This window comes from Homo sapiens, chromosome 7 (genome assembly GCF_000001405.40).
Source record: "Homo sapiens chromosome 7, GRCh38.p14 Primary Assembly".
Classification (NCBI taxonomy): Eukaryota; Metazoa; Chordata; class Mammalia; order Primates; family Hominidae; genus Homo; species Homo sapiens.
Window position 1 is genome coordinate 140435313 of NC_000007.14, and position 14985 is coordinate 140450297.

Consider the following 14985-nt stretch of genomic DNA (forward strand, 5'->3'; position numbering starts at 1 on the left):
CTCAGGCTGGGTGGCTGCGGCTGTGCTGGCGCCGTGCCCAGCTCACCAGGTCCCTGCTCGGGAGCCACAGCGGGATCCATCTCCGAGCCCCTTCCACGGAGTTGCTTGCCTGGAAGAAGTTCCTGCTGATGTGGGCGCTGAAATCTCCCTGTATGGTCCCGGGGCGCGGGACCACACTGGACCCTTCGCAGGCCTTGGGTAGCAGGGCTTCCCCCGCGGGCCCTCGCGGGCCCTCGCGGTGCCCGGCAAGGACGCGCTGTGCGCCTGCGTCCTTCCCCACCAGCGTGAAGCCACCTCTCAAAGCGCTGGATCCCGTCCCCCACGAGCCGCCGCTGTGCCCCATCTGGCTTCACCACGATGAGGGTCCGCTCCAGGGTCCAGGAGGGCCCTCCTGAGCTAGGGCGCACGAAGGCTTGGCCTGGGGCCCACAGGCCGCAGCGAAACCCGCAGCGCAACGCGCCCGGAGGAGCCGCCTGTGACGCCCGGTCCGCGGGCCGCCGGCTGAGCGCTATTATCAGTTAATTCTACAACATCACAACATGCAGCTTGGAGCAGCCAGCCACCCTGTAGTCCCATTTCTCGCAGGCTCGTGCAGCAGCGTGTCATTGGCATTCTTCTCTTTGGGGTCTATGTGTGTGTGCGTGTGTGTGTGTTAACAGTGCCTCAGGCCAGGCGCGATGGCTCATGCCAGTAATCCCACTTTGGGAGGCCGAGGCGGGAGGATCGCTTGAGCTCATCAGCCTGGGCAATATAGAGAGAAAACCCCCATCTCTACAGAAAAGTTTTTTTAATTAGTCAGGCCTGGTTGTGGGAGTCTGTGGTCCTAGCTAATTGGAAGGCTGAGGTGGGAGGATCGCTTTAGCCTGGGAGGCGAAGGTTGCAGTGAGCCCAGATCTGCAACTGCACTCCAGCCTGGGTGACTGAGCCAGACCCTGTCTTAAATAAATAAATAAATAAATAAAAATAAATAACAGGATCTTGCTAGGTTGCCCAGGCTCAACTAGGTTGCTCAAACTCCTGGGCTCAATCAATCCTCCAGCCTCAGCCTCACGAGTAGCAGTAGCTGGGATCGCAGGTGGCACCAGGGCACCCGGCTTTAGCACCACAATGTACTCCTATGCTTCTCAGGCTGTTGGAATGAGGTGGTTTAAGACGAGGTTCTTCTTCAGCAGGATGAGGTTCTTTATGTAGTCACACAAGAAACTTGTGATGAAAGAGCTGGGAACCTGGGTGGCCATCATTAATTCTCTTTGATCACTATTTATAATATAATGCCAACTTGGCTTATATTAGCCAGCACTTCATCTTTGGATTTCTTCATTTCCCTGGCTTTTATGCAGCAACTCCCCGACCCCCACCCATGCACGCAAACATCCTTCTAGTTCCCCAGCCCCTCAGTGCCTTCTGCTGCCATGGACTGCAGAGTTTCCAAGCTTTTTCCCTTCCTGACTGTATTCTAGATACCTAGTGAGATGTGAAAAAATAACATTTCTCTTCTTTTTTTTTTTTTAATTTTTGAGACAGAGTCTTGCTTTGTTGCCCAGGCTGGAATGCAGTGGTGCGATCTCAGCTCACTGCAGCCTCCGCCTCCTGGGTTCAAGCAATTCTCCTGCCACAGCCTTCTGAGTAGCTGGGATTACAGGTGCCCACCACCATTCCTGGCTAATTTTTGTATTTTTACTAGAGACGGGGTTTCACCTGAGCTCTGTCGGGAGTTCACCAGACGGGGTCTTGAACTCCTGACCTCAAGTGATCCACTCACCTTAGCCTCCCAAAGTGCTGGGATTATAGGCATGAGCCACCACACCCGACGTCTCCTAACTTTTTATTATGAAAAACTTCAAACACAGAAAGAAGTTGAAATAATAGAACAATGAATGTCTACCCATCACCCACATACCTAGATTTGAATTTTGTTATAATTTTCCCATATTTGATATATAGTAGATATCACACTTCAGCCCCCCAAATTTTAACATGCATTTCCTACAAATAAGAACATTCTCCTACTAGCTGGGCATGATGGCCCACGCTTGCAATCCCATCTACTTGGGAGGCAGAGGCAGGAGGATCGCTTGAACCCAGGAGGTGGAGGTTGCGGTGAGCCAAGATGGTGCCACTGCACTCCAGCCTGGGCAACAGACTGAGACCCTGTCTCAAAAAAAACAATTTTTTTTAAAAAAGAATATTCTCCTAAATACAATGATCACATCCAAGGAAATTTACAGTGATTCACTAATACCATCTAATATTCAGTCCAAAATGTCTTTGGTAATTTTACTTTTTTTTTCTTTTTTGAGGTGGTTTTGCCCTTGTTACCCAGGCTTGAGTGCAATGATACGATCTCAGCTCACTGCAACCTTCGCCTCCCAGGTTCAAGCAATTTTCCTGCCTCAGCCTCCCGAGTAGCTGGGATTACAGGCATGCACCAACACGCCCGGCTAATTTTGTATTTTTAGTAGGGATGGGTTTTCTCTATGTTGGTCAGGCTGGTCTCGAACTCCTGACCTTGTGATCCACCCACCTTGGCCTCCCAAAGTGCTGGGATTATAGGAGTGAGCCACTGTGTCCGGCTTACATTTTTGTATTAAAACAAAAACAAAAACAAAAAAAAAACAACAGAATTCCAGCACCTGTAATTCCAGCTACTCAGGAGGCTGAGGCACAAGAATTGCTTGAACCCAGGAGGCAGAGGTTGCAGTGAGCCAAGATCATGCCACTGCACTCCAGCCTGGGTGCTGGAGCAAGACTCTGTCTCAAAAAAGGGAAAAAAGGCCGGGCACAGTGGCTCACACCTGTAATCCCAGCACTTTGGGAGGCTGAGGTGGGCGGATCATGAGGTCAGGAAATCGAGACCATCCTGGCTAACACGGTGAAACCCCGTCTCTACTGAAAATACAAAAAATTAGCCGGATGTGGTGGCACACGCCTGTAATCCCAGCTACTCAGGAGGCTGAGCAAGGAGAATCGCTTGAACCCAAGGAGGCAGAGGTTGCAGTGACCCAAGATCACGCCACTGCACTCCAGCCTGGGCAAGAGAGCAAAACTCTGTCGCAAAAAAAAAAAAAAAAAGGAGGCCGGGCGCGGTGGCTCACGCCTGTAATCCCAGCATTTTGGGAGGCCGAGGCGGGTGGATCACGAGGTCAGGAGAGCGAGACCATCCTGGCTAACACGGTGAAACCCCGTCTCTACTAAAAATACGAAAAAAAAAAAATAGCCGGGCGTGGTGGCGGGCGCCTGTAGTCCCAGCTACTTGGGAGGCTGAGGCAGGAGAATGGCGTGAACCCAGGAGGCGGAGCTTGCAGTGAGCCGAGATCGCGCCACTGCACTCCAGCCTGGGTGACTGTGCAAGACTCCGTCTCAAAAAAATAAAAAAAAGGAAAGTAAAATAATATATATTTCAAAATAGCTAAGAGTAAATTTCAAATGACTCACCAGTAAAGAAAGGGAGATGGTTGTTAATTAACTTGATTTAATCATTCCATGGTATATACAATACATTGTATCCTATAAATGTATATAATTATGATTTTTCAATTAAAAATAATATTAATAAAAATAACCAGGATCCAGTCACGTGTTTTCATCTTACATTTAGTTGTCGTCTTTCTCCAGACTCCTCACTTTTTCCCATAACGCTGGCTGTTTGAAGATAAAGGAATTGTCTTTTAGAATTCTGAATTTGTTTCTTCAAGGTTAATTTCTTTTTTTTTCTTTCTTTTTTTTTTTTTTTTTGAGACAGGATCTCACTCTGTTGCCCAGGCTGGAGTGCAGTGGCACGATCACAGCTCATTATGGCCTCAATTTCCTGGGCTCAAGTGATCCTCCCACTTCAGCCTCCCAAGTAGCTCGGACCACGGGCTGCTCTGGAACTCCTGAGCTCAAGGGATCCTTCTGCCTCAGCCTCCCAAAGTGCTGGGATTACAGGCGTGAGCCACTGGGCCGGCCAAGGTTAATTTCTTATACCCACTATTTTCTCCATCTGCTGGAAGTCAGGTCTAGAGGCTTGTTATTAGGGCTAAACATTTTGGGCAAGACCATGACCTGGGGTGATGCTCCACGCTTGCTGCTGTATCAGGCCTGAAGGTCATCTCTTCTTGCAAATACTGGGTTCACTCACTTGTTGGAAGTGGAGACTGAAGATCTCTCTGTGAAAAAGCACATTTCCTCCTTTGCAGTAAGATGTCCTTATTGAGCTGATACTTTGGACTATGCAAATACTGACATTTCACTAACTGGTTTCACCACCCACTGATGATACCTGTCTGAATCAGTTTCATCAAGGGTTATAAAATGGTGCTTTTCAAATTCTATCGTTTCTGCTACATTTGTTAACTGTCACTCTTGGTAAAAAAGAGCTTTCCCTCATCAACTGGGAATGAACCACAGAGGCAGTAACATGTCATATTTGCGTGCCTAGTAGAGGTAAAGCTCTTTTTCATTTTCAAAACTGTCACTTGAGATAGCTACTATTCACATTTTACAAAGAGATTAAGGTTAAATAACTTGCCCAAGGTAACATTCCAATAAGTGACAGGAGACACTTGGCTCCAGGATTTTGCTGATTAGGTAACCTGAAATCTTCTTACTATATATACCTGAAAACACTGGATAAAATATTTATAAATGGGCCAGGCGCGGTGGCTCACGCCTGTAATGCCAGCACTTTGGGAGGCTGAGGCGGGCGGATCACAAGGTCAGGAGTTCAAGACCAGCCTGGCCAACATGGTGAAGCCCCATCTATACTAAAAATACAAAAAGTAGCTGGGCATGGTGGCACACGTCTGTAATCCCAGCTACTCGGGAGGCTGAGGTAGGAGAATCTCTTGAACCCAGGAGGCGGAGGTTACAGTGAGCCAAGATCACGCCACTGCACTCCAGCCTGGGCAACAGAGCAAGACTTCATCTCAAAAAAGAAAAAAAAATTTATAAATGGTTGTAAATTCATAGTCAAACTCACAAAATAATTAAGGCAATCCCGAGGAGCTGAGAATGAATTGGTAAGGCCCAGCATGGTGGCCCACATCTGTAGTCCCAGCATTTTGGGAGGGTGAGGTGGGAGGATGGCTTGAGCCAAGGAGTTTGAGACCAGCCTGGGCAACATGGCAAAATCCTGTCTCTACCAAAATACAAATTAGCTGGGTGTGATGGTGCATGCCTGTAGTCTGAGCTACTCGGGAGGCTGAGGCAGGAGGATCACTTGAGTCTGGGAGGTCAAGGCTGCAGTGAGCCAAGATCATGCTACTGCACTCCAGCCTGGGCAACAGAGTGAGACCTTCTCTCAAAAAAAAAAAAAAAAAAAAAAAAAAAGCAAAGCTCTTTATGCACTGCCTTGTCAGGGGCTGGATGATTTGCTCCTGGAGGAAAAGTAAGGCTTTGAACTATATGGCCCACCTGGAGACAAAAGAGGTCTTCAGCTTCTATGAGGAGGCAGCTGAAACTGAGCTCCCTCTCTTAACAATGAACTTCAGATGACTCAACAATCTGAGACACTAAAATGTTTATTTTTTTGAGACACAGTCTTGCTCTGTCACCCAGGCTGGAGTGCAAATGGCATGATCTTGGCTCACTGGAACCTCTGCCTCCCAGGTTCAAGCGATTCTTCTGCCTCAGCCTCCCGAGTAGCTGGGATTCCAGGTGCGTGCCAATATGCCTGGCTAAAGTTTGTATTTTTTGTAGAGACAGGGTTTCACCATGTTGGCAAGGTTGGTATCGAACTCCTGACCTCAAGTGATCCGCCTGCCTTGGCCTCCCAAGGTGCTGGGATTTGGCCACCATGCCCAGACAAAAATGTATGTTTCAATTACACACACAAGGCGGGACGCAGTGGCTCACGCCTATAATCAGCACTTTGGGAGACCAAGGCGGGCAGATCACCTGAGGTCAGGAGTTCAAGACCAGCCTGGCCATCATGGTGAAACCCCGTCTCTACTAAAACTACAAAAATTAGCCGGGCGTGGTGGTGGGTGCCTGAAATCCCAGCTACTCGAGAAGCTGAGGCAGGAGAATCGCTTGAACCTGGGAGGCAGAGGTTGCAGTGAGCCGAGATCACACCATTGCACTCCAGCCTGGGCAACAGAGTGAGACTCTGTCTCAAAAAAAAAAAAAAAAAAAATTACACAAAAGAAGGAACACAAAACTTGAGGAACAAATACAACCCTAATGGCACACATCAATCCACCTGCATTTATCTGCACATGAATCCCAATAAATATTTTGAAAATCTCATCAATTTCTGGGATCGTGTACTTTATGGGATTATTTACCACTGAAATTGTCCTACCAACAAGTTACACAACAGGAGAACATGGTCACCTGAAAACCATCGACCTGTAATTAACCAGCCTTTGCTTCTGTTGAAATTATAGTGTGCACTTGAAAGGGACCCATAAAATCTACCAATTTCCCTGAATTAGAGGCCACAGGGTCTTGTCTGCTGTAAAAACAGGGACAACTTCTCTGAAGTTTACCACAGTCCCATAACTGGCACTGTGAAACTGCCTCAGGCAGGCTTTGCTTTATAGATATGGTACTGTGTGTTAATTAATTCTAGCATTTTTTTCACATCCTCAAAATTGTATAATTGGTAACAAGTAAATGATATGAAATTAAGTGAGGGCCAAGCATGGTGGCTCACGCCTGTAATCACAACATTTTAGGAGGCTGAGGTGGGAGTATTGCTTGAGCCCAGGTTTTTGAGACCAGCCTGGGCAACATGGTGAGACCCCATCTCTATAAAAAATTTAAAAATAAAAAATTAGCCGGGCATGATGGCATGAACCTGTAGTCCCAGCTACTTGGGGTGGGGGGGAAGCCTAAGGCAAGAGTATGCCCAGGAGATCGAAGCTGCAGTGAGCCATGATCGAGGCACTGAACTCCAGCTTGAGCAACAGAGCAAGACCCTGTCTCAAAAAAAAGAAAGAATAAACAAAAGTTCCAAGAGGAAATTTGGGTTTTTTGGTGTGTGCATGTTTGTGTGCTTTGTTTTTTACTTTTTTTTTTTTTTTTTTTGAGATGGAGTCTTGCTTTGTCACCAGGCTGGAATGCAGTGGCTCGATCTCAGCTCACTGCAACCTCCGCCTCCTGCGTTCAAGCGATTCTCCTGCCTCAGCCTCCCGAGTAGCTGGGACTGCAAGTGCCTGCCACCACGCCCAGCTAATTTTTGTATTGTTAGTAGAGATGGGGTTTCACCATATTGGCCAGGCTGGTCTCTAACTCCTGACCTCGTGATCTGCCCACCTCAGCCTCCCAAAGTGCTAGGATTACAGGCGTGAGCCACCATGCCTGGCCGCTTGTTTTTTACTTTTTAACCCAACATAAATATTTCTGAACAAAATGTACATTTTGGAAGAATACAAAAATTACATTATAAAACGTCTTAATATTTTATCTTGTCTGCTGGTGTCAAATGCACTTTCACATGTGAGGGAATCTTTCAGTTAATATACCTATGTTCATAAATTTTTTCTGAATCTCCCCCACTTTCTTACTTTTAAGACCTATTGGCTGGGGAGGTGGCTCACGCCTGTAATCCCAGCATTCTGGTAGGCCAAGGCAAGCGGATCACCTGAGGTCAGGAGTTCAAGACCAGCCTGGCCAACATGATGAAACCCCGTCTCTACTAAAAATACAAAAAAATTAGCTGGGCGTGGTGGTGGGCGCCTGTAATCACAGCTACTTGAGAGGCTGAGGCAAGAGAATCACTTGAACTCGGGAGGCGGAGGTTTCGATGAACTGAGATCTCGCCATTGCACTCCAGCATGGACCACAAGAGCAAAACTCCATCTCAAAAAAAAAAAATCTATTAGTATTAATAGTAATATTAGTACAATAGTAATAATAGTGACAAACACATATAGCAGTTACTATGTCCCAGCACTGTAGCAAATACTTAATTTATCAACTATATTTTGGAGTGTGTACTGTTTATCATTCCTATTTTTTAAAATGAAGCTATGAGACACAGAGACATTAAGGTCACACAGCTAGTGAATGGCACAGCCAGGACTCAAACCCCACCAATCTGATTCCAGAGTCCACTTTTAACAATTATGCTAGACTGGAGGTGGTGGCTCACACCTGTAATCCCAGCACTTTGGGAGGCTAAGACGAGAAGATCACTTGAGGACAGGAGTTTGAAACTAGCCTGGCCAACGTGGTGAAACCCCGCCTCTACTAAAAATACAAAAATTAGCCAGGCATGGTGGTGCCTGCCTGCAACTTCAGCTGCTGGGTAGGCTGAGGCAGGAGAATCACTTGAATCCAGGAGGCGGAGGTTGCAGTGAGCCGAGATCGCACTACTGCACTCCAGCCTGGGTGAAAAAGCCAGACTCTGTCTCAAAACAAAACAAGCAAATAAAGAAACAAAAACAATTATGCTAAACTCCCTCTCAGATAATGGCCAGCACCAGATTTGGGCTCCATCATATTAACCCCTCATCATTCTCAACACACACACACACACACACACACACACACACACACACACACACACACGACAGAGAGAGAAATGTATCCATTCCAAGATATACCTCTCATACATGTATTTCAGTGTCTTCCAAAGTAAAATTGTGCAGCTGTCTGTAAAAGAAGCTAAATAGGGAGGAGGAGGTGGGGTGGAGAAGGGCTAGATGGCTGGGTGGAGTAGCCCAAACCCATCTAACTGCAGGAAAATCAGGGGGAAGCTGTGCTTGAAATGTGCTAGGCCCGGCCTGTGTACACTTTCTCTTAGATCATGAGGAAACTCCAGTTCACTCAGTGCAAGGTTATTTGGGTGAGCCAGGGCAAATCAGGTTGAGCTCCACCCTATCATCCGAGTCCAGGGGTTGGAATAGACACTGGAAGGGAACGAGAGGTGGGGAAGGATGCAGCAAGGCAAGCACAGATCAGCGCCCCCTGCAGGTGGTTAGCAAAACTCCGGGTCATTGAGACGAGTTTCTGAGGATTCATTATCGTCAAAGGCAATAATAGAATTGGTTTGGCTGGGCTCCGTGGCTCACACCTGTAATCCCAGCACTCTGGGAGGCCGAGGCGGGCGGATCACGAGGTCAGGAATTCGAGACCAGCCTGGCCAAGATGGTGAAACCCCCTCTCTACTAAAAATACAAAACTTAGCCAGGCGCGGTGGCCAGCGCCTGTAATCCCAGCTACTCGGGAGGCTGAGGCAGGAGAATCGCTTGGACCCGGGAGGCAGAGGTTGTAGTGGGTCAAGATCGCGCCACTGCACTCTAGCCTGGGCGACAGAGCAAGACTCCATCTCAAAAACAAAACAAAACAAAAATTAGTCAGGTGTGGTGGCGGGCGCCTGCAGTCCCAACTACTCAGGAGGCTGAGGCAGGAGAATCGCTTGACCCGGGAGGTGGTGATTGCAGTGAGCCCACATTGCATCACTGCACTCCAGCCCGGGCAACAGAGCAAGACTCTGTCTCAAAATAATAATAATAATAATAATAATGATAAAGATAATAATAGAATCTGCTTCAATTTTTCATTTTCAAATATCAATATCCAGGCTGGGCGGGGGGCTCATGCCTGTAATCCCAGCACTTTGGGAGGCTGAGGTGGGCGGATCATCTGAGGTCGGGAGTTCGAAGCCAGCCTAACCAACATGGAGAAACCCCGTCTCTACTAAAAATACAAAATTAGCCAGGCATGGTGGCGCATGCCTGTAACCCAGCTACTCGGGAGGCTGAGGAAGGAGAATTGCTTGAAACCGGGAGGCAGAGGTTGCGGTGAACCGAGATTGCGCCACTGCACTCCAGCCTGGGGAACAAGAGCGAAACTCTGTCTCAAAAAAAAAAAAAAAAAAAAAAAAAAATCAATATCCAGGCCAGTGGTTCGTACCTGTAATCCCAACACTTTGGGACACCAAGGTGGGAGAATCACTTGAGCTCAGGAATTCAAGATCAACCTGGGTAACACAGCAAGACTCCATCTCAAAAATTCAAAAAGTAGCTGGGTGTGATGTCACATGCCTGTAGTTCTAGCTACTTGGGAGGCTGGGGCAGGAGGATCACTTGAACCACTGTGTTTGAAGCTGCAGTGAGCTATGACTGTGCCACTGCACTCCAGCCTGGGCAACAGAGCAAGACTCCATCTCAAAAAAAAAACCCAAATAGAACAAATCAGCAGCCCCCCACCACCGCCCCCAGTATTTTTCAAGAGACAGGGTCTCACTATGTTGCCAAGGCTGAAGTGTAGTGGCTATTCACAGGCGTAATCATAGGACACTGTGGGCCTCAAACTCCTGGACTCAAGTGATCCTTCCACCTCAGCCTCCCATGTAGCTGGGATTACAGGTCACCGTGCCTGCCCATCCCCTGAAATCTTGAGGTTTAGGACTCCACAGGGTCAAAAGAAAACAGATAAGCCATAGACAATTGATAACAGGCATAGTACAGCGAGGAAGAATGTAAATCTACTAACATCACCCAGAAACGTGAGATAGGTCCACAAAGGCAGCCAACAGTAGCTGATCTATGTAAAGAAACATAGATTTGGAGTCCAAAGCTGTAGCACTTACACACTAGCTGTTAGACAGGGTTAGTTGTTTAACTTCTAAACCTTAGTTTTTTCATTTGCAAAATAAGACTAATAAGGGCTTAACTTCTTTACAGAAATGTGAGGATCAAATAAGACAGCCATGAAAATGGTTTATAAAGCATCACACAAGTTCTCATTTGAAGACAGTGGTATAAGACCGGGCCCTGTGGCTCACGCCTGTAATCCCAGCATTTTGGGAGGCTGAGGCAGGAGAATCTCTTGAACCTGGGAGGCAGAGGTTGCAGTGAGCTGAGATGGCACCACTGCCCTCCAGCCTGGGCAACAAGAGCGAAATTCTATCTCCAAAAAAAACAAAAAAAAAAAGTGGAGAAATTAGAACTCTCACTCATTGTTGACAGGCATGAAAAGTGGTACAGCCACTTTGGAAAACAGTTTGGCAGTTCCTCAAAACGTTAAACAGTTACCATATGACCCAGCAATTCTACTCCTAGGTATACACCCCAAAGAATCTGAAAACATATCTTTACACAAAAACCTGTACACAAATGTTCATAGCAGCATTATTCATAATAGCCAAAAGGTGGAAATGACTTCAGTGTCCATCAAGTCATGAATCAATAAACAAAATGTGGTATATCCATACAATAAAACAGCAGTCCCCAAACTTTTTGGCACCAGGGACTGGTTCCCTGGAAGACAATTTTTTCCATGGACAGGGGGTGGCAGGGATGGTTTCAGGAAGAAACCATCTCAGATCATTAGGCATGAGATTCTCATAAGCAGCATGCAACCGAGATCCCTTGTACGCACAGTTCACAACAGCGGCGGAACCCTGGTCTGACTGAAGGTGGAGCTCTGGGAGTAATGCTTGCTTGCCGCTCACATACTACTGTGCGGCCCGGTTCCTAACAGGCCACGGATTGGTACTCGTACTGGTACTTGTACACGGTCCGAGGGTTGAGGACCCCTGCAATAAAACACTGTCCATCCATTGAAAGAAATGAAGTACTGATAAATGCTACAGCATGGATGAAACAAAAACATTATGCTAAGTCAAAGAAACCAGTCACAAAAAGCCGCAGATTATACAGCTCCATTTATATGAAGTGTCCAGAACAGGCAGATCCATAGACAGAAATCCTGTCTCTATGGAGTAGTAGCATGGGTTAGTGGTTGCCAGGGGATAGGGAAACAGAGAAATAGGGACTGACTGCTCATGGGTGTAGGGGTTTTCAGGGGGGTGGTGATGAAAATGTTCTCAACTTAGTGGTGAGTATTGCACACTCTTTTTCTTTTGTTTTGTTTTGTTTTTGAAACGGAGTTCAGAGTTTTGCTCTTGTTGCCCAGGCTGGAGTGCAATGGTGCGATCTCGGCTTACCGCAACCTCCACCTCCTGGGTTCAAGAGATTCTCCTGCCTCAGCCTCCCAAGAGCTGGGATTACAGGCATGCGCTACCACGCCCAGCTGATTTTGTATATTTTAGTAGAGATGGGGTTTCTCCATGTTGGTCAGGCTGGTCTCGAACTCCTGACCTCAGGTGATCCACCCACCTCAGCCTCCCAAGGTACTGGGATTACAGGCGTGAGCCACTGCACCCGGCCTGTTGTTTTTTTTTTTGAGACTAAGTCTCACTCTATCATCCAGGCTGGAGTGCAGTGGTGCGATCTCGGTTCACCACAGCCTCCGCCTACCGGGTTCAAGCAATTATCCTGCCTTAGCCTCCTGAGTAGCTGGAACTATAGGTGCGTGCCACCATGCCCGGCTAATTTTTGTATAGTTTTAGTAGAGTTGGGATTTCACCATGTTGACCAGGCTGGTCTCAAACTCTTGAACTCAGGTGATTTGCCTGCCTTGGCCTCCCAAAGTGCTGGGATTACAGGCATGAGCCACTGCGCCCAGCCAACATTGTATTTTTAAAACCACTAAATTGTACCCTCTAAAAGGGTGAATTTTAGGGTATGTAAATTAGATCTCCATAAAAAAGAGAAGTGCTGGCATGAGAAATAGATCAAGACTAAAGTTTAGCTCATAGATGGTCTCTAGGGTGTGATGGAAGGAGGCAGTCAACAAGCCTTGATGGGGAGAAGAACAAAGGGATTGAAGGGGGACATATGCGGCACCCAGCAGTATGCATAGTGGTGAAAGATAATGGGGCTGCGATTAGGAGCAAAAAGTTCTACATTCAATGCTTTTGAAATCGCATGTTTCCTCTCAAACTCAACCACTTCCCTGACGCCACCCATCACACCAGAAATATGTTTACTGAAGACTTACTGGCTTAAGTAATAGAATAACAGCTGTTATTATTAGAATACTTCAAAAATCAGACTAAAGAAAGGACTGGGCCTTTCAACGTCGCATCCATGATGGTTTATTGACCACTACCTTGCTAGATTGTACTGGTTACTGAACGCCAGCAGGATAAAAGGGTGTCTGTAGTTCTTTTACCAGTACCCTTGCTACACCTCCTTACCTCTTAATACAGTCTGCACTTCCATATGGTCGTTTACAGTTGTAAATTATTTCAAATCTTAAATCAAAATTCCTCTACATGCATTTGCCTGCAGGATTTGCTCTTACTGGTTTTGGCCTATGGAACCAAGTTTGAATTTTTTTTTTTAATTGGCTGGGTGCGGTGGCTCATGCCTGTAATCCCAACACTTTGGAGACCGAGGCGGGCGGATCACGAGGTCAGGAGATCAAGACCATCCTGGCCAACACGATGAAACCCGTCTCTAATAAAAATACAAAAATTAGTTGGGTGTGGTGATGCACGCCTGTAGTCCCGGGTACTTAGGAGGCTGAGACAGGAGAATCGCTTGAACCCGGGAAGCGGAGGTTGCAGTGAGCCAAGATCGTGCCACTATACTCCAGCCTGGCGACAAGAGTGAGACTCCGTCTCAAAATAAATAAATAAATAAATAAATAAATAATTTAATTAGCTGAGCATGGTGGCATGTGCCTGTGGTCCCAGCTACTCAGGAGGCTGGGGCAGAAGAATCCCCTGAGCCCAGGGGGTCAAGGCTACAGCAAGCCACAATGGCACCACTACACTCCAGCCCGTGACAGAGTAACCCAGTCTCAAAAAATACAAATAAGTGTCTTGTGCCTATTCCAGACCCACTGAATCAGAATCTGCATTTTAACAAGAACCTCCTCCTCTCATTCATTTGCACGTTAAAGGCTGAGAAGCCCTGCTGTGGAGACTGGTTCCAACTGCAGCAGGTCATGATCAGGTGAGTGTGTTGCAGTTTAGTAAAGCATTAAATTGTAGGAAGAATGTTTTTGGTATTTTAAGGCAATCCAACATTATTCCTATAAATGTTAGACATTGTTATAATGTTACTGACTTGCATGTATACTTTTCTGAAAGTAAAAGCTATACCTAACACAGGAAATTCAATGTGTCCTGTAGGCCATCGAGTGTCCTTAATGGTGATGTCAAGGAAAAGCTGTTGGATGTCTTGCCTTTGCCTGCCTCAGGCTTTAACACAGGATGTCTTGTCTGCAGGGCACTTTTTCTGCCATTCAGATCTCAATTCAAATGACCTTTCCATGGCCACACTAGCCCAGGCCCCCTATCGAAAGCAGTCACCAGTTTTATGAAGGGCCACAACTGCCTTATTAGGATATTTCATATTAGGCTACTGGCAAAACAAAACAAAATCTCCCAAATCTCAATTTATCTCTTGTTTATACAAAATCTGATTTTGGGGGTGGGAGCTCTCCCTCTATCCATGACACAGAGATCCAGGATCCCTCCTGTCTTGTGACTCTGCCACTTTAACACATGGCTTCCAATACCTCCATGAAACAGAGACGATGACAAGGAGGGCACACGGCACATGACGTGAGTTAGCCATGCAGCACCAACCAAACTGCAAAGGGCCTGGGAAGTGGAAGGGACCAAGTGGGCTAGTTTGATGAGCACTTCTGCAAACTGTGTTCTGCTCACAGCATCTCTAGCACTAGTACAGTGCCTGTATGCACAAGGACTCAAATATCTGTAAAATATGTGGATACCTTCATTTTACTAAAAAGGTCATCCATTAACAGTTTTAGGCCGAGCGTGGTGGTGCCTGTAATCTCAGCACTTTGGAAGGCAAATCACCTGAGGTCAGGAGTTCCAGGCTGAGGTCAGGAGTTCCAGACTGGCCTGGCCAACATGGCGATATCCCGCTTCTTCTAAAAATACAAAAATTAGCCAGGCGTCATGGTTGGCGCCTGTAATCTGAGCTACTTGACAAGCTGAGGCAGAATAGCTTGAACCCAGGAGGCATAGGTTGCAGTGAGCCGAGATTGTGCCACGGCACTCCAGCCTGGGTGACAGAGCAAGACTCTGTCTCAGGAAAAAAAAAAAAAAATGGGGAAACCCCGTCTCTACTAAAAATACAAAAATTAGCCAGGCGTGGTGGCGTGCGCTTGTAGTCCCAGCTACTTAGGAGGCTAAGGCAGGAGAATCGCTTGAACCCAGGAAGCAGA

The 14985-nt window shown here is 46.9% G+C and overlaps 1 pseudogene, besides 2 other annotated features; it reads right to left on the reverse strand.

Annotated features, from left to right (window-relative positions):
* On the reverse strand, nt 1-11494 carry LOC642355 (nucleoside diphosphate kinase, mitochondrial-like; annotated as a pseudogene).
* Nucleotides 4065-4134: an enhancer, noted in NCBI's record as "active region_26781". NCBI's record gives its function as "activates an Ori minimal core promoter by ATAC-STARR-seq in GM12878 lymphoblastoid cells {active_cell/tissue: GM12878}" and the evidence as "EXISTENCE:reporter gene assay evidence [ECO:0000049][PMID:35858748]".
* Nucleotides 8648-9148: an enhancer, noted in NCBI's record as "H3K4me1 hESC enhancer chr7:140143760-140144260 (GRCh37/hg19 assembly coordinates)". NCBI's record gives its function as "activates a minimal SCP1, AML or CMV promoter by ChIP-STARR-seq in primed H9 embryonic stem cells {active_cell/tissue: H9 hESC(primed)}" and the evidence as "EXISTENCE:reporter gene assay evidence [ECO:0000049][PMID:30033119]".